The following is a 27,287-nucleotide window of genomic DNA, read 5'->3' on the forward strand; positions in this document are numbered from 1 at the left end:
GCAGACATTCAGGAACTGTTCCTCTCCCTCTTCTCCATCACTCCTAATCCCCCACTGCTTTAATAATGATGACTACCATTTATCAAGTACCTCTCATAGTTAGGTAATACGTTCAATGCTTCATGCATTGTGTCTGATTATTAGCCTTGTTTTACAAATAAGGAAATTGAGGCCTAGAGCAGATAGCAGACATGCTCAAGGACATAGAGCCAGTAAATGGTGCAGCTGACATTAAAACCCAGATCTGCTTGACTCCAAAGTCCCACAGCCTCCCATTTTGCATGCATGAGGACATCATCATCAATGAAACTATAAACTCCCAAGGGTAAGTACGATGTGAATAGAAGGTTTAAATCTGTTTGGATAACCAAGCAAAAGTATCAGCACAGTCTGTACAGGATATGTGGGAGTGTGGCTGTCACTGCTGGGTGGAGATCACGTTCTACCCTTCCTGAGCACCTATTAGGTCTAGGAGGAGGTGTCCCCTCCTATCTTCTCAGTCACCAGCCTTTGCATCCCATTTCCAGCACACTGGAAGAACCTGCAAAACCATGCAAGCAAAATACCTGCAAACCATGTGCTTCAGAATACCTGACAGTTCAAACTGACCGGATTAAGTGAGTAGGTTCAATGTTTGCCAGCAAGATCATGCCCTGCACACACCACCAGGGGGACATTCCAAGGGCTCTCTAAGTCTGAGACAGGGCCTTACATACTAGCAAAGAATTCATGGGGAAATAAACCACTCTAGATCCAACTACCTAGAATACAAGTCAGGCTCTGTTGATGATGACAATGATAGTATTATAAATACTAATAATATTAAGAGCAAATACTTGGCCAGCAGTGGTTCATGCCTGTAATCCCAGCACTTTGGGAAGCCGGGAAGCCGAGGTGGGCAGATCACCTGAGGTCAGGAGTTCAAGACCAGCCTGGCCAAAATGGCGAAACCCCATCTCTACTAAAAATACAAAAAAAAATTAGCCAGGCGTGGTGGCAGGCGCCTATAATCCCAGCTACTCGGGAGGCTGAGGCACAAGAATCACTTGACCCAGGAGGCAGAGGTTGCAGTGAGCCAAGATCATGCCACTGCACTCCAGCCTGGGCAACACAGCAAGACTACATCTTAAAAAAACAAACAAACAAACAAACAAAAACTAATACTTAAGGCTTACTACGTATTGAGCACTGTTTAAATCACTTTACATATATTTTATCCTCACAACTACTCTATGAGGTAGGTGCTGTTATTATGTCCACGTTACAGACCAGGAGATATACACAGAGAGGTTAAATAACTTGCCCAAGAGCACACAGTAGTAAATGGCACACAGCCAGGGTTCAAACCCAGGGAATCTGAGCCAAGAGTCTGTGCTCTCAACCAATAAACTATATCACTGATGAGAAAACGAGAGGCTCAGAAAGCATTTCTGGCAGAGAAAATTTAACTTCAGCAAAAGCACAAAGATAGGGCATTATGGTATGCTTGGAAACAAGTAATAATAAGTAGGATAAATAAGTAGGGAAAAGTTTTATTTGAGAAGCACTAGGGATACAAAAGAAGAATGTGGCCGGGAGCGGTGGCTCATGCCTATAACCCCAGCACTTTGGGAGGCCAAGGCAGGCAGATCACTTGAGGTCAGGAGTTCGAGACCAACCTGGCCAACATGGAGAAACCCTGTCTCTACTAAAAACACAAGTATTACCCAGGTGTGGTGGTGGGCACCTGTAATCCCAGCTATTTGGGAGGCTGAGACAGGAGAATCACTTGGACCCAGGAGGCGGAGGTTGCAGTGAGCCGAGATCAAACCACTGCACTCCAGCCTGGGCGACAGAGTGAGACTCTGTCTCAAAAAAAAAAAAGAAGAAGAAGAACAAGAGTGTAAGAGTCAGGTCTCAAGTGCGACCTGAGTTCTATTTTCGACTCCGCCAATGACCAGATGAGTGATCACAAGCATGTTACCCTACCCTCTCTAAGCCTCAATCTCCCAGCTGAAAAACAGAGATCCTCGGCCAGGCGCGGTGGCTCACACCTGTAATCCCAGAGCCTTGGGAGGCCGAGGCAGGCATATCACAAGGTCAGGAGATCGAGACCATCCTGGCTAACACAGTGAAACCCTGTCTCTACTAAAAATTCAAAAAATCAGGCGGGCGTGGTGGCGGGCGCCTGTAGTCCCAGCTACTCAGGAGGCTGAGGCAGGAGAATGGCGTGAACACGGGAGGTGGAGTTTGCAGTGAGCCGAGATCGCGTCACTGCACTCCAGACTGGGTGACAGAGTAAGACTCCATCTCAAAAATAAATCAATAAATAAAAATAATAGAGATCCTCTTATGGAATTTTTGTGACACAGTGTAAGGCCCATGGACTCAAAGTAAGTGCTTAATAAATGGTAAGTGCTACTAATAATGATAACAACAGTAGTAAATTTAGGCTAAACTGTAAGACTTCAAACGCCATGTAGAGTTTGGATTTTACTCTTATGACAAAAAGGAGCTGTTTACCTAGCACATAGTACACAGGGCAGGTAACTCTTGAGTGACATTCATAACACAGGGCACCTGGCATTGAAAAGAATGGAAAAAATCCATTTTTTCCAGTTCAGCTTTGCCACCATCCCAAATTGTTTTGTTACTTTCTTCAAAGTTAAATAACCATGTTTAGTTTTCTTTTTTCATTTCTTTTACATTTCTCAAATATCTCACAGCTTTAAAAAGAAGTGCCATAGATTCTATCATTTAAAATGAACACAGGGCCAGGCGCAGTGCCTCACGCCTATTATCTCCACACTTTGGGAGGCTGAGGTGGGAGGATCACCTGAGGTCAGGAGTTCGAGACCAGTCTGGCCAACGTGGTGAAACCCTGTCTCTACTAAAAATACAAAAATTTTTTAAAAATAATAATGAATAAAATAAAGACCAGGCGTGGTGGCTCACGCCTGTAATCCTAGCACTTTGGGAAGCCAAGGCAGGTGGATCACCTGAGGTCAGGAGTTCGAGACTAGCCAGGCCAACATAGCAAAACTCCGTCTCTACTAATACAAAACTTAGCCAGGCGTGGTGGCGGGCACCTGTAACGGGCTTGCTGGCGAGCGCCTGTAATCCCAGCTACTCAGGAGGTTGAGGCAGGAGAACTGCTTGAACCCAGGAGGTGGAAGCTGCAATGAGCCGAGATCATGCCACTGCACTCCAGCCTGGGCAACAGAGCAAGACTGTCTCAAAAAACTAAAAATAAATAAAAATGAGCTGGGTGTGGTGGCAGACACCTGTAGTCCTGGCTACGTAGGAGGCTGAGGCAGGAGAACCACTTGAACATGGGAGGTGAAGGTTGCAGTGAGTTGAGATCATGCCACTGCACTTTAGCCTAGGTGACAGAGCTAGAATCTGTCTCAAAAAAATGAAAATAAAAATAATAAAAATAAATAAAAGTTAGCCAGACATGGTGGCACATGTCTGTAGTCCCAGCTACTTGGGAGGCTGAGACAGGAGAACTGCTTGAACCTGGGAGGTGGATGTTAAGGTGAGTCGAGATCATGTCACTGCACTCCAGCCTGGGTGACAGAGTGAACTCCGTCTCAAAAAATGAAATAAGCTGGGCTCCGTTTCAAAAAATGAAATAAGCCAGGCGCGGTGGCTCACACCTGTAATCCCAGCACTTTGGGAGGCCGAGGTCAGGAGATTGAGACCATTCTGGCTAACACGGTGAAACCCCATCTCTACTAAAAAATACAAAAAACTAGCCGGGCATGGTGGCAGGCGCCTGTAGTCCCAGCTACTTGGGAGGCTGAGGCAGAAGAATGGCATGAACCCAGGAGGCGGAGCTTGCAGTGAGCCAAGATCGCACCACTGCAGTCCAGCCTGGGTGACACAGCGAGACTCCGTCTCAAAAAAATAAATAAAATAAAATAAAATAAAATGAACACAGACATCTCTAAAAACACATCTCATGCCAAGCAAACCTGTAAGTTCTAGACTGGAAATCCAATTTGCACCCTGTGCAAATCCAATTTAGGCTGGCAAGGACTAAATATGACCAGTTTAGCTTTCAAGGAGGAAGACTACAGTGCAATTACTTTACGGCAACAGGTTGGTTAGTGGTGATAGGCCCCTGGAGAGATGACTTGAATTTTTCCTTCTCAGGCTTCCCTTCAGTGGGCCTTCTGTGAACTGTCTGTGGTCTGGTGATAAAGCTAAAAGAGAAGTGGGCAAGAGCAAACCAGGAAGCGGGGAGGGCAACACAGAGATGCAGAGCATGCTCAAAGAGGAAGGGGGCAGGAGTTGTTGAGGCCACAAAGCACCTTGGGCTAGAAATTGTATGGGTCTCTACAATTCAACCAGAGACAGACATTTTTTGAGCACCTACTGATGTACAAGGCATTCGGCTGTCATTTGGGAAGGAGAGAGAATGCAAAATGCTAAAAGCAGCAAGTTCAAGCTTACAAAAATGTAGCTGAATGAGAAGTCAACAAATAGGTGAAAAAGTACAGGGCTTTATCCAGAAATAATAAGCAGTCAAGTTTGAAGTAAAAGGAAATGAAGATAAGTTGTAGCAGATAAGACCAGACAGAGAAGCAGGCTGAGGTCAGGCAGTGCAGGACTTGACCACTATACTAAGGAATTTGAGCTTTATTCTATAGGCAACAGGGAGTGGTACAATATTGAAGTTCACATACAAAATAGTAGAATACGATCAAAGTTATGTTCTAAGGAGATCCCTAAAGGAGAGGGAAACTTGAGGTTGGGAAGACTTACAAGAAGACTACTGCAACAGTTCAGCTAAGAGGATACCAACATGAATAAGGGGGATTTTGAAATGTGGGTAGATAGGAGAGGCACTGCAGAAAAAAAAAAATGAACAGAATTTGCTTATTAGACATGAGAGCAGAGGGAAGAGTCAAGGATACCCTGAGGTTGTTAGTGACTGCATTCAGAAATATGAAAATGGAGGGAGGAAAGGAGTAAGTGCAGTTCTTTTTTTTTTTTGAGATGGAGTCTCGCTGTGTCGCCCAGGCTGGAGTGCAGTGGCGTGATCTCTGCTCACTGCAACCTCTGCCTCCAGGGTTCAAGTGATTCTTCTGTCTCAGCTTCCCAAGTGGCACGCAGATTACAGACGCAAGCCACCACACCTGGCTAATTTTTGTATTTTTAGTAAAGACAGGTTTTCACCATGTTGGCCAGGCTGGTCTCAAACTCCTGACCTCAGGTGATCCACCTGCCTCAGCCTCCCAAAGTGCTGAGATTACAGGCCTGAGCCACTGTGCCCAGCCAATGCAGTTCTTATCAGGAAGAAATCCCCCTAGGATAGACCCTGAAGACAGCAGCCAGGTTCTCAGTTCTCAGAGGTGAGCATTTACCATTTCTTTTTCTTTTTTTTTTTTGAGACAGAGTCTCGCTCTTGCCCAGGCTGGAGTGCAGTGGCGTGATCTCGGCTCACTGCAACCTCCACCTCTGGGGTTCAAGCGATTCTCGTACCTCAGCCTCTTGACTAGCTGGGACTACAGGCATGTGCCACCCTGCCGGGCTAATTTTTGTATTTTTAGTAGAAACAGGGTTTCGCCATGTTGACCAGGCTGATCTCAAACTCCTGGCCTCAAGTGACCCGCCCACCTCAGCCTCCCAAAGTGCTGGGATTACAGGCATGAGCCACCGCTGCTGGCCAGCATTTCCCATTTCTAATTGTATTTCCCAAATGAAAGCACGTCTAAATAATTAGCATTGCTTAAGTCCTGTGTGACTTTCCAGGAGGCAAACATTCACTCCCATTTTAAAGACATAAGAGGAAAGTTGAGACACACGTTTAATATCGTACAAAGAGGTCAAGCGCGGTGGCTCATGCCTGTAATCCCAGCACTTTGGGAGGCAGAGGCGGGAAGATCACTTGAGGTCAGGAGTTTGAGACCGGCCTGGGCAACACAGGGAGATCTCGTCTCTAAAAACAAAAAGAGGCTGCGCATGGTGGCTCACACCTGTAATGCCAGCACTTTGGGAGGCCAAGGCAGGCTGAATCACTTGAGGTCAGGAGTTCAAGACCAGCCTGGCCAACATGGTGAAACCCTGTCTCTACTAAAAATATAAAAATTAGTCCAGGCATGATGGCTCACGCCTATAATCCCAGCACTTTGGGAGGCCAAGGTGGGCAGATCACCTGAAATCAGGAGTTCAAGATCAGCCTGGCCAACATGTTGAAACCCCGTCTTTACTGAAAATACAAAGAGTAGCCAGACATGTTAGCACATGCCTGTAATCTCAGCTACTTGGGAGGCTGAGGCAGGAGAACTGCTTAAACCCAGGAGGTGGAGGCTGCAGTGAGCAGAGATCACACCACTGCACTCCAGCCTGGGTGACAGAGTGAGACTCCGTCTCAAAAAAATAAAATAAAATAAAAATAAAAATAAATAAAAACAAAAAGAGAAAGTAATAGTGCACCAAGGAACCATGAAGAAAAGAAAAAGAAAAATGTCCAGGCCTCTTGACATCCACTTTGTTTAAATTCTCATCATTGGCATTCCAAGAAAGAAAGTCTCTTCTCATTCATATTTGCTAGCTTCAGTTCATGTATGGATCACCAATAACAAAACTGTTAGAGCGTAATTTATTTTATATATTTATCTATTTAAATTTAGAGATATCACTATGTTGCCCAGGCTGGTCTGGAACTCCTCAAGCAAGACTCCTGCCTCAGCCTCCGAGTAGCTGGGACTACAGGTGCGCACCACTGTGCCGGGCTAACAGTATATTTTAAGTAGCAAAGAAAAACATGCAAGTCAGCTAGCATCTATCCTCCAACAGTACAGTATCTTTCCTCTAATAAATATATTGATGCCTCCCTCTTCCTGAACTGTCCCTCCCTGAGGATTTTTCTGTTCAAAGCTCCACTTCTAACTGAGTGTTTGTGGGTCACCTCACTTGCTCTCAACAATAACTGCAGAATTCCAAAACAAACTGTTTTCAGAAGAAAAAAAGAATCTTTAGGGGGTTCTCTTGTACTAGAAACATAAAACTGGATTAAATGGCCCAAAGAAGGAAAATGGAGAGGGGAACAACAAAAGGAAGAAGAAAAACGAATACAGTTCTCTTTTGTTTAAGGAAACAAAGTGACTTAAAATAAGTTACTTAGGAGCCTGCAGAGCTTCCCACAACGGTGGAAATGATGGGCAATATTTGTTCTCTAAGATAAACAAAAGCAAATTTATTTTCTCCATGCTAAAAGGATATGTTGGTCACACAAGTTTTACCTATTAGTACTGACAAAACAAGATGAAAGAGAGAGTGAGAGAGAAAACCACCCCGGGGGCTATTTTGCTAACATGCTCTCTGGCTTCTACTCTGGTAAACTAGGTTACCCTTTATGTTACCCTGAGATATAAATAGCATTCATTTCCTTTCACTGGCATGACAGACTTTAATACTTTGTTTCCTGGGTCCAGAAGAAAAAATACTTAAACACATCCCCTTGTAAATTTGAGTTACTACAAAGCTGGTTCATTTCTTTTTTTTTTTGAGACGGAGTCTCACTGTCGTCAGGCTGGCATGCAGTGGCGTGATCTCAGCCCACTGCAACCTCCGCCTCCCAGGTTCAAGTGATTGCTTCAGCCTCTCAAGTAGCTGGGATACAGGCGCACGCCACCACGCCCAGCTAATTTTTTATATTTTAGTAGAGATGGGGTTTCACCACGTTGGCCAGGATGGTCTTGAACTCCTGACCTTGTGATCCGCCCACCTCGGCCTCTGAAAGTGCTGGGATTACAGGCTTGAGCCACCACACCCGGCGAAGCTGGCTCATTTCTAATCAACTTTGGATTAAAAAAAAACAAAATGTATTTGCTATTACTGCTTTGTTAAAATAGCCCAGAATGGCCCCTGTGGGACTTCTGAGTAGCCATTTCCTTTTTAGTGCATAGTTCAAAACCCTCCAGAACACAGCTCCAGGTTTTGCATGTACCCAGGATGCAATGCAGGTGAACATTTTACAGACTGACTTGGATAAGTACTGGGCCCTGTACAGGATCCTCAATGGGGTTTTCTGAATAAGAGCAACTTCAGTTGCTAGATGGAAATAATGAGGTATTTCTCCCAAATCAGACTTCACTCTTTTTAAGGAAAGAAAAAGCTGCAAAAGGAAGTTAACAGCATCCCTGGTCATCTAGTGGTTAGGAAGAAAAAAAAAGAAAAGAAAAAAGATGTTAAGAACAGTGAGGCCAGGCGCGGTGGCTCACGCCTGTAATCTCAGCACTTTGGGAGGCCCAGGCGGGCAGATCACAAGGTCAGGAGATGGAGACCATCCTGGCCAACAAGGTGAAACACCATCCCTACTAAAAATACAAAAATTAGCTGGGTGTGGTGGCGTGCAGGTGCATGTATGTAGTCCCAGCTACTAGAGAGGCTAAGGCAGGAGAATTACTTGAACCCGGGAGGTGGAAGTTGCAGTGAGCCAAGATCGTGCCACTGCACTCCTAGCCTGGTGACACAGCAAGACTCCGTCTCAAAAAAAAAAAGGAGCAGTTAAATAAGTGCAGGAGCAGAAAGACTCCTACCAATCTACCGATTCAACTACCAATCTAAAGTCAGTGCAAGCTGGGCTTGGCAAGAGAATCACGTGAACAAGCTGCCACTCAACCAAAAGCATTACCTGACTTCAACACCACAAGTTACCTCCTAGACACTGGTCTGAACCTGAAGACGTGGATTCCAGTCTGAAACTAGCTCCATTTCATTTTTCTTTTTCTTTCTTTTTTTTTTTTTTTGAGACAGAGTCTCGCTCTGTCACCAAGGCTGGAGTCCAGTGGCGCAATCTCAGCTCACTGCAAGCTCTGCCTCCCAAGTTCACGCCATTCTCCTGCCTCAGCCTCCCGAGTAGCTGGGACTACAGGCGCCCACCACCATGCCCGGCTAATTTTTTTGTATTTTTAGTAGAGACGGGGTTTCACCATGTTAGCCAGGATGGTCTCAATCTCCTGACCTCGTGATCCGCCCTCCTTGGCCTCCCAAAGTGCAGGGATTACAGGCGTGAGCCACTGCGCCCGGCCTCATTTTTCTACTATAATCTCTACCAAGCTCAGCCTAACACTCCTGAATTCAGCAGAGACAAATCAAAGAAAAGAAAGGACATTTTGAAAGAATCATCAAAGATCATTCCTATCTCTATTAATGCAAAGGCAAAGAATGAAGACCAGATTCACCTATCCCCCAAAATGCCTGGGCCTCAAAGGTGCTCTATGCCCTTGGCTCACGCTACAAGGAACACTGTCCTGCTGGGCCAACCCTATACTCTCTTACCTCTATCTACGTATTATCAGACCCCTCTCAGTCAGACTGCCAGCTCCTGAGGGGTGCCTTTGTTTCTCCTGCCGTGAATCAAAAACAGCTTTTTTTTTTCTGAGGGGACAGAGTCTTGCTCTTGTCACCCAGACTGGAGTGCAATGCCGCGATCTCAGCTCACTGCAATCGCCACCTCCCGGGTTCAACTGATTCTCCTGCCTCAGCCTCCCAAGTAGCAGGGATTACAGGTGCCTGCCACCATGCTCAGCTAAGTTCTGTTTTTTTGGGGTTTTTTTGTTTTGTTTTGTTTTGTTTTGAGATGGAGTCTCGCCCAGGCTGGAGTGCAGTGGCGCGATCTCGGCTAACTGCAACCTCTGCCTCCCAGGTTCAAGCGGTTCTCCTGCCTCAGACTCCCGAGTAGCTGGGACTATAAGCGCACACTACCATGCCCAGTTAATTTTTTTTGTATTTTTAGTAGAGATGGGGTTTCACCGTGTTAGCCAGGATGGTCTTGATCTCCTGACCTTGTGATCCGCCTGCCTCAGCCTCCCAAAGTGCTGGGATTACAGGCATAAGCCACTGTGCCTGGCCTAATTTTTATATTTTTAGTAGAGACAGGATTTCGTCATGTTGCCCAGCCTGGTCTTGAACTCCTGATCTTGTGATCCGCCCACCTCGGCCTCCCAAAGTGCTAGGATTAGGCATGAGCCACCGCGCCCAGCCAAAAACAGCATTTTTAAGCAACCATTTGCCTTGGTTTCTCTAGGCTATCAAGTAGTGGGTATTTTGATCATATGCATATAGGAAAAAACAAATCTACTACTCCGTTTCCCTTGGGGCCTGTATCGACATCCAGAGGCAGCCCAAAGGGTTCTTCCCACCTGTTATAGAAGATGTAACTCTCCTCTGAGGCCAGAACAACTCTGGAAACAGAGATGACCCAAACAGAACTGGAGAGCTTGATACCATTTCTTACCAATTTTAGCAGCAGCAACTTAGCAATTAACAGTGTCACCCAGTCACTTACTGTAGGTATTACGATAAGATAAAAAAAAATTTTTTTTTTTTTGAGATGGAGTCTCGCTCTGTCTCCCAGGCTGGAGTGCAGTGGCACGATCTCAGCGCACTGCAACCTCTGCCTCCTGGGTTCAAGCGATTCTCCTACCTCAGCTTCCCAAGTACCTGGGATTATAGCCATGTGCCACTACACCCATCTAATTTTTGTATTTTTAGTAGAGACAGGGTTTCGCCATGTTGGCCAGGCTGGTCTCGAACTCCTGACCTCATGATCCGCCCGCCTCAGCCTTCCAAAGTGTTGGGATTAAAGGCATGAGTCATCGTGCCCAGCCAGAAACAGCATTTTTAAGCAACTGTTTGCTTTGGGTTCTCTAGGCTATCAAAAAGTGGGTATTTTGATCATATGCATATAGGAAAAAACAATCTACTACTCTGTTTCCCTTGGGGCCTGTATCGACATCCAAAGGCAGCCCAAAGGGTTCTTCCTACCTGTTATAGAAGATGTAACTCTCCTCTGAGGCCATAATAACTCTGGAAACAGATGACCCAAATAGAACTGAGGGGCTTGATACCATTTCTTACCAATTTTAGCAGGAGCAACTTAGCAATTAATAGTGTCACCCCACTTACTGTAGGTATTTTAAGAGAAAAATTTTTTTTTTTTTCGAGATGGAGTCTTGCTCCGTCTCCCAGGCTGGAATGCAATGGCACGATCTCGGCTCACTGCAACCTCTGCCTCCTGGGTTCAAGCAATTCTCCTACCTCAGCCTCCAGAGTACATGGGATTACAGGCACCTGCCACCACGCCCATCTAATTTTTGTATTTTTAGTAGTGACGGAGTTTCGCCATGTTGGCCAGGCTGGTCTCGAACTCCTGACCTCAGGTGATCCGCCCGCCTCAGCTTCCCACAGTGCTGGGATTACAGGCATGAGTCACCACGCCTGGCTGACAAAATTTTTAAAACTATTTATTTATTTATTTTAGAGACAGTCTCACTATGTTGCCTAGGCTGGAGTGCAGCAACTAATTCACAGGATCAATCATAGTGCACATCACCCTCAAACTCCTGGGCTCAAGCCTTCCACCTCAGCCTCTCAAGTGGCTGGGACTACAGGTACGCGCCACCATGTTCAGCTTTCAAATTATTTTAAAATAAAAATAAAACCGAAACCGTAACAATAATTCCTCACCAGCATATGGCTAGTCTCTGTTTTTTGAAAGGAAATGAAAGATTGAGATCCCTGCACATTTCTCAGTCGGGGCAGCTAACTGGCTTCAGAGCTAGCTGGCCTGACTTGTCATAGAAGACTAAGGGAATGAAGTGCCTGCATGGCCTGGCTCTGGTGTACTGGCTGAGAACACAGCACCCACCTCTTTCTGCTGCCATTGGCCTTGTCCTCCGCCAATTGTCTGGATTCTGGCAGTCTCTTGTGAAGGGGCAAGGAGATGAGGTGCTCTTAAACTCTCACCCGTCCCAGCACCATAGCCCAGAATGTCATGGAAACTCTAGTGATAGTGAACTCTGAGATAAGCCCAAGGAAGATGCAAACTATCAGCACCATCAGGCGCTTCGATCGCACCTTGTGATGGCTGCAATGAAGGAGAAACAAGCACCGAGGAAGTCCTCTGCTCACCTCGTTTCCTCTCAGTTTACAAACTCTTGTGCAACATGCCACTCCTCCCTGCCCCTCATAGTTTCCAAGCCTTGTAAGAGCAAGTGGAGGGCTGGCCCACACTTTACACAGCTACTTGACAGGCTCTTCATTGCTGGCAAATGACTGTCACAAATAGGTACTAGGGGTCATGCCAAAGCTCACACATAAATGGAGCCTCACGGACACACCCAGGGGAAAAAAGCACCAGGGGCCCTTGCAGAAAACCCTGGAGCTGGACAAAAAAAGACAGGTCTGCAGGTCCTCCCAGAGCACGGACTCACCCAAATTTCAGCCCTGAGCCTCCCATCTCCAAACGACAAGCTCCTGCTCAGCAACTGGCCTTCTGTGCTCCCCATTATCCACCAACTGCTGGGTGGGAAAAAACCTAGTCCTTTTATAACCTGTAACTTCATCCTGGCCTCTAGTCCCAGAGTAGACAGGGCTCCCCAAGACTCCAGCCCTGTACACTGCGCTATCATCACAGGGGCTGAGAACTGACAGAGCCCCAACACATACCATACCTCACCCAAAGGAAGACTCTATCGTAGGCAGGGCACCACTCCCCCACCCGCCCCACGCGACAAACTCGGAAGATCAGGATTGAAGAGCAAGCTCAGATGGAGCAACAGGCCCAGAGAGGGGCAGCGAGTGGCCCGAGGTCACACAGCGAGTTCGGAACGGAGCTTTACTAAAACCCCAGCCTCCGGATTCCCAAGTACCCCATTCCCACCCGCCTACCCTCGTCACGCACGCCTAAGAAGAACATCACAGAACTTCTGCCCCAGTGTCCCAGCCTCCAGAGGGCCACCAGGACTTTGGTCTTCGCCCCGAGCGTCCACTGGCCAAACCGCCGACCCTGCCCACCCGAGGGCCGGGCGCACCGCCGCCCCCGGCCCAGCTCCCCAGCCCAGCTTCCCGCCGCCCGCCGAACCTGCAGTGTTGCGCTCCCGAGAGCCGGCGGCGGCAGACATTTCCCTGCCTGCTTCCTCAAGCTCCTCATCCCGCCGCCCGTCCCGCGCGCTCCGCCCCCAGACGAACCCGCCCCCGTGTGCCCGCTCCATCAATCGAAAGCCTGTCTTCTCCATCGCTCCGCCCCAAAACAGAACGGAGCCCGCCCCCTGTGGCCGGGCCTCCTCCAATCCCCACCGTTTCTTCCGGGACGGATACCTGCCTCCGCCAATTGTCGCGTACCCTGGCCAGGTAACTAGGGCCGAGTTACAACCGCGCGGCGTTGGCATCTCCAGCTCCAGCTCTGCGCACCTATACCGAGACAGCCACAGGAATTCAGGATCCCGGGTCGCAGAATCGAAGCCTGTGCAGGAACAAATGGGGGCAGACTGAGCCACGAGCTTGAAGAGCCGGCTCTGCATGATTGTATTATCCCAAGAGACTCCGGCCCTGTTTCTCCCGCGCACAGAAGGGTTCTGTGCGCACTGAGGTTCAAATGCAAGAATAATTGTGAACACAAAAGTACTATTCCAAGGCAGAGACCACCGCCATTCCTTGAACCTCACGGTAACTATGTGCCAAGGTCTGTGCCTCGTATAAATATTATCTTCCTACTCCTCGTAACACACCTTTTATGAGGGAGGAAACTATTATCCCAATTTTCTTTTCTTTTCTTTTTTTTTTTTTTTTTTTTTTTGAGACGGAGTCTCGCTCTGTCGCCTAAGCTGGAGTGCAGTGGAGCGATCTCCGCTCACTGCAACCTCTGCCTCCCGGATTCAAGCGATTCTCCTGCCTCAGCCTCCCGAGTAGCTGGGACTACAGGCACGTGTCACCATGCCTGGCTAATTTTTTGTATTTTAGTAGAGACGGGGTTTCACCGTATTAGCCAGGATGGTCTTGATCTCCTGACCTCATGATCCACCTGCCTCGGCCTCCCAAAGTGTTGGGATTACAGGCGTGAGCCACCACCCCCGGCCTATTATCCCCATTTTATATACAAGGCAACCAAGTTCAGAGAGGTTAAGTCTGAGGTCGCAGAGTGACTAGCAGAGTGGAGGATTCAAACCGATGCCAGAGGGTTGGAGGATTTCACCACCCATAACCTCCAGCAGCAGTTGGCAGCCCACTCCAGAGAAACACACGCCGTAAGTAAGCAGTGTGTTTACTATGAAATATATCAAGACAAGTCCTCTGTTTCTCCCTTAACCAGACTGCCACTCTCCCTCTTAGAAATTCTTGAGTCACCTCTGTCTCTGACTCAAACCCTCTGACTCAAACTATCTGACTCTGGAACAGTTGCTCTTAACCCTCCTGCTATCCCACCTGCTCTGTCTGTAGAGCTGCATGAACCCGACCGAACTGAATAGGATGTGCAAGGACATGATATATGAGAAGACTTGAGTTCCAGTCCTGACTATGGCACTGCCAGACACAGCTTTTAAGTTGTCTTCAGCATTTACATACTATTAACCCATACTTGGCCTCGTCTGATCCTCAAAAAACTTGGCTTATTGAAGAAGGCAAGTTTATATTTCCATTGTATAAATAAAAAAGCCAAGGTCTGAAAAAATAAAATATATAGTAGGGCCAGGCGCATGCCTGTAATCCCAGCACTTTGGGAGGCTGAGGCGGGCAGATCACGAGGTCAGGAGATCCAGACCATCCTGGCTAACATGGTGAAACCCTGTCTCCACAAAAAATACAAAAAATTAGCTGGCCATGGTGGCATGCGCCTGTAGTCCCAGCTACTCGGGAGGCTGAGGCAGGAGAATCCCTCTAACCTGGGAGGTAGAGGTTTCAGTGAGCTGAGATCGCACCACAGCACTCCAACCTGGGTGAAAGAGTGAGACTCTGTCTCAAGAAAAAAAGAAAATACAAAAATTAGCCGGGTGTGGTGGCGGGCACCTGTAATCCCAGCTACTCGGGAGGCTGAGGCAGGAGAATAACCTGAACCTGGGAGGTGGAGGTTGCAGTGAGCCAAGATTGCACCACCACACCCCAGCCTGGGTGACAGAGCTAGACTCTGTCTCAATAAATAAATAAATAAATAAATAAATAAATAAATAAATAATAGATAAAATAAAATGTAGTGTTCACATTCACATTTAGGAAGTGACAGACCTGGGATCTGCACTGAAATCTCTGAACTCCGAGGGCTTTGGCATCAGAAACTGAAGTTTCAAACCTGGTCCCATTACTTCAATTTTTATTTTATTTATTTATTTATTTATTTATTTATTTATTTATTTATTTATTTATTTTGGGACAAACTCTTGCTCTGTCGCCCAGGCTGGAATGCAGTAACGTGATCTCTGCTTACTGCAACCTCCGCCTCCCGGGTTCAAATGATTCTCCTGCCTCAGACTCCTGAGTAGCTGGGATTACAGGCACACGGCACCACGCCTGGCTAATTTTTGTATTTTTAGTAGAGGCGAGGTTTCACCATATTGGTCAGTCTGGTCTCGAACTCCTGACCTCATGATCCGCCCACCTCAACCTCTCAAAAGTGCTGGGATTACAGGTGTGAGCCACCCCATCCGGCCCCTATTACTTCAATTGATGATTGATCTTGGGTAAGTTGCTTGCCTCCTCTGTGTCAATTTACTCGTCTGTAAAACAGGATATCTACTTCTTAGTATTGTTCAGAAGACCAAACGGAGAAATACAGTTGTTGTGCATTGTCTCGGTATCTAGAAAAATGTCTGGCACACAGTAGGTGCTCAATTAATGTTAGCTAACTGTGATCTCTTGTTAGCTGATGTTTCTCTAATAGTAGATTCTTAGCCAAGACACTTCCACTCTCTGGCCTTTTGTGCTGTACAACATTATCCATCAAGGACTGGGTGGAAAAAACCTAGTTCCTTTTGCCTCTAGTGCCTCTAGTAAAATGAAAGAGTTGGGCTGGTGGATATCTAAGAGTCTGTCAATACTGAGAGTCCCTTCTAACCCAGGTCCCTCCCTGAGGAAATCCCCATCATGACAAGCACTCAGAGAAGTTGGTTGGTACAGAGTTTCTCTGCTGGTTACCCCAGGTGTGGTGTGGACCCCAGAAGGATGACAGGTAAGGGGACTGCAAGACACACACCCAATCCTAAAAGAAAGAAGTCATCCTTGACTCCTGTCTTTCATTCTCATAGCTACCAACCTCTGCTCCTGCAGTCAACAAATATTTATTAAGTGCCTGCTATCTGACAGGCGGTGTTCTTTTTTTTTTTAAGATGGAGTCTTGGCCGGGCGCAGTGGCTCACGCCTGTAATCCCAACACTTTGGGAGGCCGAGGCGGGCGGATCACGAGGTCAGGAGATCGAGACCATCCTGGCTAACACGGTGAAACCCCGTCTCTACTAAAAAAATACAAAAAATTAGCCGGGCGTGCTGGCGGGCGCCTGTACTCCCAGCTACTCGGGAGGCTGAGGTGGGAGAATGGCGTGAACCCAGGAGGCGGAGCTTGCAGTGAGCCGAGATCGTGCCACTGCACTCCAGTCCGGGCGACAGAGCCAGACTCCATCTCAAAAAAAAAAAGATGGAGTCTGGCTCTGTCGCCCAGGCTGGAGTGCAGTGGCACGATCTCGGCTCACTGCAACCTCTGCCTCCCGGGTTCAAGCGATTCTCCCGCCTCAGCCTCCCGAGTAGCTGGGACTACAGGCACGTGCCACCACGCCTGGCTAATTTTTTTGTATTTTTAGTAGAGATGGGGTTTCACCATATTGGTCAGGCTGGTCTTGAACTCCTGACCTCGTGATCCGCCCCGCCTTGGCCTCCCAAAGTGCTGGGATTACAGGCGTGAGCCACCTTGCAGGCTGGCACTGTTCTTATCTCTGCGGATGAAGTTGTGAACGTGACCCAAACTCACTGCCCCCATGGTGCCTTCATTCTCATCAGTTTGACCTCTCTATTTTTCAAGTCCATCCCTCCTTCCCCATTCCCATCACCAGGGCTCTCCCAGGTCCCAGCCTCATTTTCCATTCCTTAGCCATTCCAGTACATTCCTATCTCCCTGCTCTAGTTCTCTTTTTCTATACCAGTTGCCAGAGGAACTTTTCTAACTTGCAAATCTTGCCTTATCACTCTCCAGCTTAAAAATTCCTTAATGGCGGCCGGGCGCGGTGGCTCACGCCTGTAATCCCAGCACTTTGGAAGGCCAAGGCGGGCGGATCACGAGGTCAGGAGATCCAGACCATTCTGGCTAACATGGTGAAACCCAGTCTCTATTAAAAATACAAAAAATTAGCCAGGCGTGGTGGTGGGCACCTGTAGTCCCAGCTACTCGGGAGGCTGAGGCAGGAGAATGGCATGAACCTGCGAGGTGGAGCTTGCAGTAAGCCGAGATCACGCCACTGCACTCCAGCCTGGGCGACAGAGTGAGACTCCGTATCAAAAAATAAATAAATAAATAAAATTCCTTAATGGTTCCCCATAAGCTATAGGGCAAAGTCCAAGCTCTTTGCTGGGTAGCTAAGACCCTTCATGAGATGCTCTCTGCTGACCCCTCCTGGCTCAGCTCTCTCCACACCCTCCTCTTCCCCCAAGTTCAGTCCCCACCAAAGGTCCTGCCCTTCCCTCCGACTGCCAAGCCCTTTTCCTCCTTGTTGCCTGCCTGGGGAAAAACTCTTCTTCATCCTTCTAGCCTAAGCTTAAATATCACCTCTGGCCGAGCGCGGTGGTTCACGCCTGTAATTCCCGCACTTTGGGAGGCCGAGGCGGGCGGATCACCAGAGGTCAGGAGTTTGAGACCATCCTGGGCAACATGGTAAAACCCTGTCTCTACTATAAACACAAAAATTAGCCAGGCATGTTGGCAGGCACCTGTAGTCCCAGCTACTCAGGAGGCTGAGGCAAGAGAATCGCTTGAACCCGGGAGGTGGAGGTTGTAGTGATACAAGATCATGCCACTGCACTCCAGCCAGGGAGTCTCAAAAAAAAATTCACCTCCTACATGAAGCCTTCCTGGGCTGTTTATAGGGGAGAGGGTGCCATGAGCTAAGGAAGCACTAGAGCAAAACACGCAAGGGCTCAGGCTCTGGAGCAGAACTTTTTTTTTTTTTTTTTGAGAGACAGAGTCTCGCTCTGTCACTATATGTTGGCCAGTCTGGTCTCGAACCCCTAACCTCAAGTGATCCACCCGTCTAGGCCTTCCAAACTGCTGGGATTACAGGCATGAGCCACCGTGCCTGGCCTGGAGTAGAACTATATAATCCTGCCTAATCCTGGCGCTATCGTTTACCAGCTAGGTACTCAGGCAACGCTCTTATCCTCTCTGAGCCTCAGTTTCCTCATCTATGAAATGGACACATCGATAATACTTCCCTTGTAAGATCGTGGTAAAGAGTATATGAGGCCAGGCCGGGCGCGGTGGCTCACACCTGTATTCCCAGCACTTTGGGAGGCCGAAGTGGGCAGATCACAAGGTCAGGAGTTCGAGACCAGCCTGAACAACATGGTGAAACCCCGTCTTTATTAAAAATACAAAAATTAGCCAGGCATGGTGGCGTGCACCTGTAATCCCAGCTACTCAGGAGGCTGAAGTAGAACAGTCACTTGAATCCAAGAGGCGGAGGTTGCAGTGAGCCAAGATGGCGCCACTGCACTCCAGCCTGGGCAACAAAGCAAGACTCCGTCTCACAAAAAATAAATAAATAAATAAATAAAAGTAAATGAGAGGCTGGGCAAGGTAGCTCACGCCTGTAATCCCAGCACTTTTGGAAGCTGAGATGGGCAGGTCACCTGAGGTCAGGAGTTCAAGACTAGCCTGGCCAACGTGGTAAAACCCCATCTCTACTAAAAATATAAAAGTTGGCCAGGGACAGTCGCTCACGCCTGTAATCCCAGCACTTTGGGAGGCCAAAGTGGGCGGATCACCTGAGGTCAGAAGTTCGAGACCAGCCTGGCCAACATGGTAAAACCTGTCTCTACCAAAAAATACAAAAATTAGCCAGGCATGGTGGCATGCGCCTGTAGTCCCAGCTACTCGGGACGCTGAGGCAGGAGAATCGCTTGAACCCAGGAGGCAGAAGTTGCAGTAAGCTGAGATTGCACCACTGCACTCCAGCCTGGGCGACAGAGCCAGACTTTGTCTCAAAAAATAAAATAAAATAAAATAAAATAAAAATAAAAATAAAAATACAAAAATTAGCCAGGCATAGTGGCAGGTGCCTGTAATCCTAGCTACTTGGGAGGCTGAAGCAGGAGAATCGCTTGAACCCCAGAGGCGGAGGTTGTAGTAAGCCAAGACTGTGCCATTGCACTCCAGCCCAGATGGGCAACAAGAGTGAAAGTTGGTCTCAAAAAAAAAAAAAAAAAAAGCTGGACACGGTGGCTCATGCCTGTAATCCCAGCACATTGGGAGGCCGAGGTGGGTGGATCACGAGGTCAGGAGTTCAAGACCAGCCTGATCAACATGGTGAAACCTTGTCTCTACTAAAGATACAAAAAATTAGCTGGGTGTGGTGGCATGCGCCTGTACCAGCTACTCGGGAGGCTGAGGCAGGAGAATCACTTGAACCCAGGAGGTGGAGGTTGCAATGAGCCGAGATTGCGCCATTGCACTCTAGCCTGGGCAACAGGGCGAGACTCTGTCTCAAAAATAAATAAATAAATAAATAAATAAATAAATAAAATTAACATTAAATTTAAAAAATTTTTTTAAAAAGGAGTAAATGAGATAATGTGTGAAAAGTTCTTGGAATAGTGCCTAACGCATGCCAAATCAACAATGAATGTGAGCTACGAGTCTTCTTGTAGAGGGGAAAAACATTTTCTGAGTTCCTGCTATGTGGTAGGCACTTTTACATGTGTTATCTCATTTAATTCTCACAACCCATGAATAAGGTATTCATTACATACAGAAGCCTACAAAAACTAAAGTTCAGAGAGGTGAAGTAGCTTGCCCAAAGTTGCACAGCTAGGTACTGGCAGAGATGGGTTTCAAACTCAAGGGGCTGTATAGCTTCAAAGCCCAGGCTCTTTGGTGTTATTTCTATTATTATACCTCCTACAACTATTATTAATAATCATAAAATATGTTATCCTTTTATTTTAAGATTTAGAGATAAATTTCCCCCTGCTTAATAAATTTGAAACCTCTTGGCTGGGCGCAGTGGCTTAGGCCTGTAACCCCAGCACTTTGGGAGACCAAGGTGGGTGGATCACCTTAGGCCGGGAGTTCGAGACCACCCTGACCAACGTGGTGAAACCCTGTCTCTACTGAAAATACAAAAAATTATGCTGGGTGTGGTGGCTCATGCCTGTAATCCCAGCACTTTGGGAGGCTGAGGTGGGCGGATCACCTGAGGTCAGGAGTTCAAGACCAGCCTGGCCAACATGATGAAACCGTGTCTCTACCAAAAATCCAAAAATCAGCTGGGCGTGGTGGTGGGCGCCAGTAATCCCAGCTACTCGGGAGGCTGAAGCAGGAGAATCGCTTGAACCCAGGAGGCGGAGGTTGCAGCGAGCCAAGGTCGTACCACCACACTGCAGCCTGGGCGACAAGAGCGAAACTCCGTCTCAAAAAAAAAAAAAAAAAAAATCAGCTAGGCATGGTGGTGGGCGCCTGTAATCCCACCTATTCAGGAGGCTGAGGCAGGAGAATTGCTTGAACCGGGGAGGTGGACATTGCAGTGAGCCGAGATCGCGCCACTGCACTCCAGCCTGGGCAACAAGAGCAAAACTCCGTCTCAAAAAAATAAATAAAATAAATAAACCTCTTAACCAGGCATTCAAAGCTCTATAATCATGTTTCTACTTCCTTTTGTTTTTGTTTTTGTTTTTTTTTTTTGAGATGGAGTCTTGCTCTGTCCCTAGGCTGGAGTGCAGTGGCGCAATCTCGGCTTACTGCAAGCTCCGCCTCCTGGGTTTATGCCATTCTCCAGCCTCAGCCTCCCGAGTAGCTGGGACTATAGGCGCCCGCCACCATGCCCGGCTAATTTTTTTATTTTTAGTAGAGACGGGGTTTCACCGTGTTAGCTAGGATGATCTCGATCTCCTGACCTGGTGATCCACCCGCCTTGGCCTCCCAAAGTGCTGGGATTACAGGCGTGAGCCACCGCGCCCGGCCTGTTATTTTATTTTTTAGAGACAGGGGTCTCACTCTGTTGCCCATGCTGCGGTGCAGTGGCGCAATCATAGCTCAATGTAGCCTTGAACTCCTGGGCTCCGGTGATCCTCCTGCCTTAGCCTCCCAAGTAGTTGGGATTACGAGCAAGCTACTAAGCCTAGCTGTTTCTTCTGCTTCCTTTTCCCTTATCCCCTAGTTTGAATCCAAGGGCAGTCCCCTTCCTGGCACAGCAAGCAAAATAAAGTGAAGCCCCTGGAGGCTCAGGCTCCACAGCAAGACCACAGAGAAGACCAGCCCTCTCCCATTGCCACAAAGACAAGAGATAGCTTGAAAGAAGACAGCTAAAAGTGGTGGGTAAACATTTAAGCCCCAGCACCTGTTGGCTTGAATTTGCATGTTCTATGACTAATCCTCTGCTCTGTACACAAACTCTCCTTTACCTGCCGGGCTAATGTCCCATTCTAAACAAATTTTGTCCTAAAGGCCACTAACGTTTCACTGCTAGCCCAAAGCTAGACCATTTTCTCAGCGGCAGTGAGTGACAGCAGGGTTCAAGGGCAGGAGAGCCAATATGACAGATGGTTCTAGCTGTGAGTTCTAGCTGTGGGTGGCAGAGAGAGGGAAGTTGGGCCGCTTGAAGCTGCTTAGTCTGCCAACTTGTAAGAGATTCTGCATCACAGTCACAACCTATCCTGTGCAACCCTGCCCAGAGCCAGGAGAGCAAAGGGGCCCTGCTGTAGTTAACACTCAACTCCAGAAACTGTAAACACAAAAGCAAACACCATGGTTGGCTGGCAGCCTGGGGGCACTATGGCTTTACACCAGCAGCTTCGAAAGGACACAGAAACCATGGGGTAAGAGTCCAAAGGGTGGAGAGTCAACTGGGGTGGGTAGGTGAATACCCAGCAACCCACCCACCCCCAGGGAGCCTGGGGTCTTACCTACCTGGACAGGCCCTGGCAACTTCGTGGAGGAACATCCTGGTTTGTGAACCAAAGGGCAGTTGGAATACGAGGCTAAGCTCTGCTGTGTCCAGCTGGACGGTCACATCTGAGCCTGCACAAAGGAGGCAGGAAATGAACCCTTGGCTGCCAGGAGCTAAGTGCTTGATGCAGCCTAAGCCTGAGAATGGAGAATCAGCAACCCAGACTCCCAAAGCCCCTTCAGCCCTTAAGCAACTTACTTGGGACAGCTGCTGGGACAACAAGGAAACCCTCTGTACCCTGAGTTCCAAATTAACATCATCCCCTCTTTATACAGGAGGCAGAAGAAGGCTCTGAAAAGTCAGTAAGCCTCAACTGCAGTACTAGATGGAACTGGGAAAGAACAGGTTCTCTGGATGTGTAGTCTGTTCCCCTCCCGATGAAATGAAAAGCACATAGAGGCAGACAAGAGGGAATGTCCATGGGTCAGTCTACCTGACTATGCCAGGTAGTGTGATAGGCACAGGGAATACCATGGTGAAGAGAATACACGTGGGCCCGTCTCAGGGAGCTAGACTGTAGAAGGCTTCCCTATTCATAGCATATACCCAATACCGGGCACATGGTGAGCACTCAAACCATGTGCTGAACTAACAGACAAACAGAAGCAACCTAGCAGAGCGATTAAGAGTGTGGGCTAGGCTGGGCACAGTGACCCATGCCTGTAATCCCAGCACTTTGGGAGGCCAGGGCAGGAGGATTACTTAAAGCCAGGAGTTTGAGACCAGCTTGGAAAACACAATGAGACACCACCCCCCGCCACCCAATCTCTATAAAAAATTAGCCAGATGTGGAGTCCCAGCTACTTGGGAGGCTGAGGTGGGAGGATCGCTTGAGCCCAGGAGGTTGAGGCTGAAGTGAGCCATATTTGTGCCACTGCACTCCAGCCCGAGTGACAGAGCAAGATCCTGTCTCAAAAAATAAAATAAAGGGCCGGGCGCGGTGGCTCACGCCTGTAATCCCAGCACTTTGGGAGGCCGAGGCGGGCGGATCACGAGGTCAGGAGATCGAGACCATCCTGGCTAACACGGTGAAACCCCGTCTCTACTAAAAATACAAAAAATTAGCCGGGCATGGTAGCGGGCACCTGTAGTCCCAGCTACTCGGGAGGCTGAGGCAGGAGAATGGCGTGAACCCGGGAGGCGGAGCTTGCAGTGAGCCGAGATCGCGCCACTGCACTCCAGCCTGGGCGACAGAGCGAGACTCCGTCTCAAAAAAAAAAAAAAAAAAAAAATATATATATATATATAAAATAAAATAAAATAAAATAGTGTGGGCTCTAGAATCTGAATTCTCTAAGTTTGAATCTTGGTTCCACCCCTTACTAAACTGTTTAATTTCTCTGGGCCTCAGTTACCTTGTCCATAAAATGGAGATGCAAACAGTGATAACCTCATAGAGCTGTGAGAAAAGCCTGATTTAGGCCCGGTGCGGTGGCTCATGCCTGTAATCCCAGCACTTTGGGAGGCCGAGGTGGGGTGGATCACAAGGTCAGGAGATCGAGACCATCCTGGCCAACACGGTGAAACCCCGTCTCTACTAAAAAAAAATACAAAAAATTAGCCGGGTGTGGTGGCAGGCGCCTGTAGTCCCAGCTACTTGGGAGGCTGAGGCAGGAGAATGGCGTGAACCCGGGAGGTGGAGCTTGCAGTGAGCCGAGATCGCGCCACTGCACTCCAGCCTGGGCAACAGAGCGAGACTCTGTCTCAAACAAAAAAGAGAAAAGCGTGATTTGGTGTATGTAAAACTTCTAGCACAATGCTGGCGTGGGATAATCATTAACTCATTATTTGCTTCTATTATTATTATTGTTGTATAGCAAAGCAGACAGACATTAAATATGTCAATATAAAGAATTACATCACTGATTGAGAGAGGCTGGCAAAAATAAGAAAAAGGCAAGCCAGGTGTGGTGGCTCACGCCTATAATCCCAGCACTTTGGGAGGCCAAGGCAGGTGGATCATCTGAGGTCAGGAGTTCAAGACCAGCCTGGCCAACATGGCAAAACCCCGCCTCTGCAGAAAATACAAAAATTAGCTGGGCATGGTGGCGGGTGCCTGTAATCCCAGCTACTTGGGAAGCAGAGGCAGGGGAATCACTTGAACCTGGGAGGCGGAGGTTGCAGTGAGCCAAGATCATGCCACTGTACTCCAGCCTGGGTGACAGAGTGAGATTCTGTCAAGAAAGAGAGAGAGAGAGAGAGAGGAAGGGAGGGAGGGAGGGACAGACACATGTATCCATGGGATACAAAACAATTTCAGGATTTTTTGGGGGTTTTTTGTTTGTTTTTTGAGATGGAGTTTCACTCTTGTTGCCCAGGCTGGAGTGCAATGGTGCGATCTTGGCTCACGGCAACCTCCGCCTCCCAGGTTCAAGCAATTCTCCTGCCTCAGCCTCTCGAGTAGCTGGGATTACAGGCATGCACCACCATGCCTGGCTAATTTTGTATTTTTAGTAGAGACGGGGTTTCTCCATGTTGGTCAGGCTGGTCTTGAACTCCTGACCTCGTGATCTTGGCCCCCCCAAAGTGCTGGGATTACAGGCGTGAGCCACTGCCCTGGCCTAATTTCAGGGGTTTAACAAAGGCTGCCTGGGAAGAGAAATGCATGAATGGAAGCCCTGAAGGCTGAGTAGGAGTTGGCTAGGTGAAGAGATGTGAGGCTTGCAGGAGGAGAGGACAGCGTGTGCAGGGGCTCCGGGGTGAGAATGTGTGTTATCGGGGGAGACGGAAACAGCAGCAAGGAGGAGAGTGATGGGAGATGAGCCCACGGAGATGGGCTGTGCCAGATCCTACAGGGTCTTACTTGCTGCAATAAGTTTAGCAGGGGGTGCTCTTACTTTACACCATTCTTCTTTCTCTGAAAATCAGGCACCCCTGCCCCGAGTGGGACCCAGACCAAGAGGACCACTCACCAAGGATGTAGAGTTCACCATCTGGGGACACTGTGGGGAGGGAAATGAGAATGCCCTTAGCAATTGAGCTTACTCCCCCTTGCCCCCCCATCAAGGACAAAGATGAGCTGGGGGGCCCATAGGAGAGGATTCATACCACCCAGCCCCCTGTGGCACCTTCTTCCAGCGTAAAATCCCGCGAGACTGGCACTATCTGGTCCAGAGAGACATCGTCCCCGGTAATGGCCATCCTCCGGTGCGTATAGAGGAAGAGACTAAGGGCAGGAAGCAGAGGTGAGGATGGGGGCCCGCTGGCTGTCCCTCAGCCCTATCTTGGAGGTCTCGGGGTGCTCACACTCGCTCGTTGGTCCCTAACACTGTGCTGGTGGTGCCCTGGCTAGGCACACTCCTCATGCCATCTCTGTCTGTGGTGCCCATCAGAGACTGCAGTTTTATGGATGAGGTCATCAAACCAGAACTTTTCTCATCTGCAGGAGCCCCTGATTGTTAGTAAAACACAAACACATGTTTGATCTAACCATGGTGCATTCTAGCACTGTGTGTGACAGGAACAGTGCAACCTTAGCTACCCACTTCTCTCCCTGAACCTGTTTCCCATCTGTAAAACTGGGGTGATGGATCAGAAAATGTCTAAGGCCCCCTCCCTCCCAGCTCCTAGACCCTGAGTCACTTACCAGCTATGAGACCTTTGACAACTATTACTCTCTCTCTGCTTCTGTGTGGTATGTGGGTGTTACTAGACAACATTTATGGAGCACTTTCTTTTTTTTATTTATTATATTTTTTAAATTATTTGAAATAGAGATAGGGGTCTCACTATATTGCCCAGGCTGGTCTTGAACTCAAGCAGTCCTCCCAGCTCAGACTCCCAAAGTGTTGGGATTACAGGCATGAGCCACTGCACCCAGCCTTATTGAGCACTTTCTACACACCCCATGGTGTTCGTTTTTTTTTTCTTGTTTTTTTTTTTATAGAGACAGGGTCTTGCTGTGTTGCCCAGGCTGCAATCGTAGTTCACTGTAATCTCAAACTCCTCGGCTCATGTGATCCTCCCGCCTCAGCCTCCTGAGTAGCTGAGACTACAGGCATGCACCACAACACCCAGCTAATTTTCTTATTTTTTGTAGAGATGGAGCCGGGGAGCGGGAGGTGGGGCGGGGTAGGGGGGGCGGTCTCGCTATGTTGCCCAAGCTGGTCTCGAACTCCTAGGCTCAAGCAATCTTCCTGCCTCAGCCTCCCAAAGTGTTGGAATTACAAGCATGAGCTACTGCACCTGGCCTAACTCACTTTACTCTTTAATATGGACAAATCGAGGAGTAAAACAACTTGCTCAAGATCATGTGGTTCCACCAGGTGCGGTGGCTCATGCCTAAAATTCCAACACTTTGGGAGGCTGAAGTGGGAGAATGACCTGAGGCCAGGAGTTCCAGCATGCAGCTATGAGTGCACTACTGCACTCCAGCCTGGGTGACAGAAAGAGACCCCGTCTCTAAAAAAAAGATCATGTGAGGCTGGGCACGCTGGCTCATGCCTGTAATCCTAGCACTTTGGGAGGCCAAGGCAGGTGGATAACTTGAGGTCAGGACTTCAAGACCAGCCTGGCCAACGTGGTGAAACCCTGTCTTTACTAAAAATACAGAAATGAGCCAGGCATGGTGGCGGGCACCTCTGTAATACCAGCTCCTCAAGAGGCTGAAGCACGAGAATTGCTTGGACCTGGGACGCAGAGGTTGCAGTGAGCCAAGATCACCCCACTGCACTCCAGCCTGGGCAAAGACCAAGACTCCTTCTCAAAACAAACAAACAATAGATCATGTGGCTTGTTAGTAACAAAGCCTGGGTTTGAACCCAGGCATTTGGACCACGAGGCTCAAGATCTGGACTAGTATGTTAAACTGTCTCTTCTCAAGAAACTTCCTCCTTAGATCTTGAGGATTATGAGTTAGTACGTGTGCAGGGTTTAAAATATAGTGTTCAAAAAATATTAACTATCATTGTGATAATTATTCTAGGAGACTCAGACCCTGCCCTGGAGGGACAGTTGAAGTTCAGCTGGAGGGTGCAGTGATGAACAACCCCATGGCCCAGACAGGTGGGGACCAAGCCCCTCACTCACGCGTGTTCCTGGCCGCCGTGCTCCAGGCGGTAGCGCACGAGTCCCAGGAGGCGGCTCTGCCGGCTGTCCCCCTCACACAGCACACCTTGCACCGCCTGCGGCTCAGAGTCAAGGGAAGACAACCCAGAGGCGAGGCCTCTCCCCACCCAGGCTGTCCCACCTTCCCTCTGTTCCCCTGCCCCCCCAGATTCACTGTGTGGCCTTGGGTGAGCACTCAAACCATGTGCTGAACTAACAGACAAACAGGCTCTCTAAGCCTTCCTTATCTATGAAATGAGGATAATAATCCCCAACTTCATAGGGAGTTAGGAGGATAACTGCGTATTTAAAGCATTTGGCTGAGAG

The 27,287-nt window shown here is 48.4% G+C and overlaps 1 protein-coding gene and 1 long non-coding RNA gene across 25 annotated transcripts in view, besides 3 other annotated features; one reads left to right on the forward strand and one right to left on the reverse strand.

Annotated features, from left to right (window-relative positions):
* Positions 1-27,287, reverse strand: part of INPP5B (inositol polyphosphate-5-phosphatase B) — an 86,361-nt gene that overhangs the window by 58,117 nt on the left and 957 nt on the right. For 6 of the 21 annotated variants that reach the window (XR_946643.3, XR_007059977.1, XR_946644.4 and 3 more), the window contains exons 3-7: positions 26,943-27,037; positions 24,983-25,080; positions 24,827-24,856; positions 21,875-21,985; positions 13,100-13,240 (exon numbers count right to left, since the gene is read on the reverse strand). Coding sequence is in view for 9 of the 21 variants with exons in the window: in NM_005540.3 (NP_005531.2) it covers positions 13,100-13,240; positions 21,875-21,985; positions 24,827-24,856; positions 24,983-25,080; positions 26,943-27,037 (475 nt within the window). In the remaining 12 variants the exon portion in view is untranslated. Of the gene's footprint in view, positions 1-12,859; positions 12,979-13,095; positions 13,241-21,874; positions 21,986-23,269; positions 23,452-24,826; positions 24,857-24,982; positions 25,081-26,942; positions 27,038-27,287 lie in introns of those variants that run through there. The other 15 variants (NR_158628.1, NM_001365823.1, NM_001365825.1 and 12 more) reach the window with 11 other exon arrangements.
* Positions 7,350-7,589: an enhancer, noted in NCBI's record as "active region_778". NCBI's record gives its function as "activates an Ori minimal core promoter by ATAC-STARR-seq in GM12878 lymphoblastoid cells {active_cell/tissue: GM12878}" and the evidence as "EXISTENCE:reporter gene assay evidence [ECO:0000049][PMID:35858748]".
* Positions 11,882-12,381: an enhancer, noted in NCBI's record as "H3K27ac hESC enhancer chr1:38396367-38396866 (GRCh37/hg19 assembly coordinates)". NCBI's record gives its function as "activates a minimal SCP1, AML or CMV promoter by ChIP-STARR-seq in naive H9 embryonic stem cells {active_cell/tissue: H9 hESC(naive)}" and the evidence as "EXISTENCE:reporter gene assay evidence [ECO:0000049][PMID:30033119]".
* Positions 12,676-12,905: a silencer, noted in NCBI's record as "silent region_683". NCBI's record gives its function as "represses an Ori minimal core promoter by ATAC-STARR-seq in GM12878 lymphoblastoid cells {active_cell/tissue: GM12878}" and the evidence as "EXISTENCE:reporter gene assay evidence [ECO:0000049][PMID:35858748]".
* LOC105378651 (uncharacterized) lies at positions 13,237-26,988 on the forward strand. 4 transcript variants are annotated; one of them, XR_001737983.3, is made up of 5 exons: positions 13,237-13,459; positions 15,828-15,937; positions 21,126-21,279; positions 24,922-25,099; positions 26,466-26,814. It is a non-coding gene; the product is annotated as an uncharacterized LOC105378651 (long non-coding RNA). The 4 variants fall into 4 exon arrangements; XR_007065886.1 differs by lacking the exon at positions 15,828-15,937 and having other exon boundaries at positions 26,466-26,504; XR_007065883.1 differs by lacking the exons at positions 13,237-13,459; positions 26,466-26,814 and adding an exon at positions 26,839-26,988 and having other exon boundaries at positions 15,399-15,937.

This window comes from Homo sapiens, chromosome 1, assembly GCF_000001405.40.
Source record: "Homo sapiens chromosome 1, GRCh38.p14 Primary Assembly".
In the NCBI taxonomy this organism is placed as follows: Eukaryota; Metazoa; Chordata; class Mammalia; order Primates; family Hominidae; genus Homo; species Homo sapiens.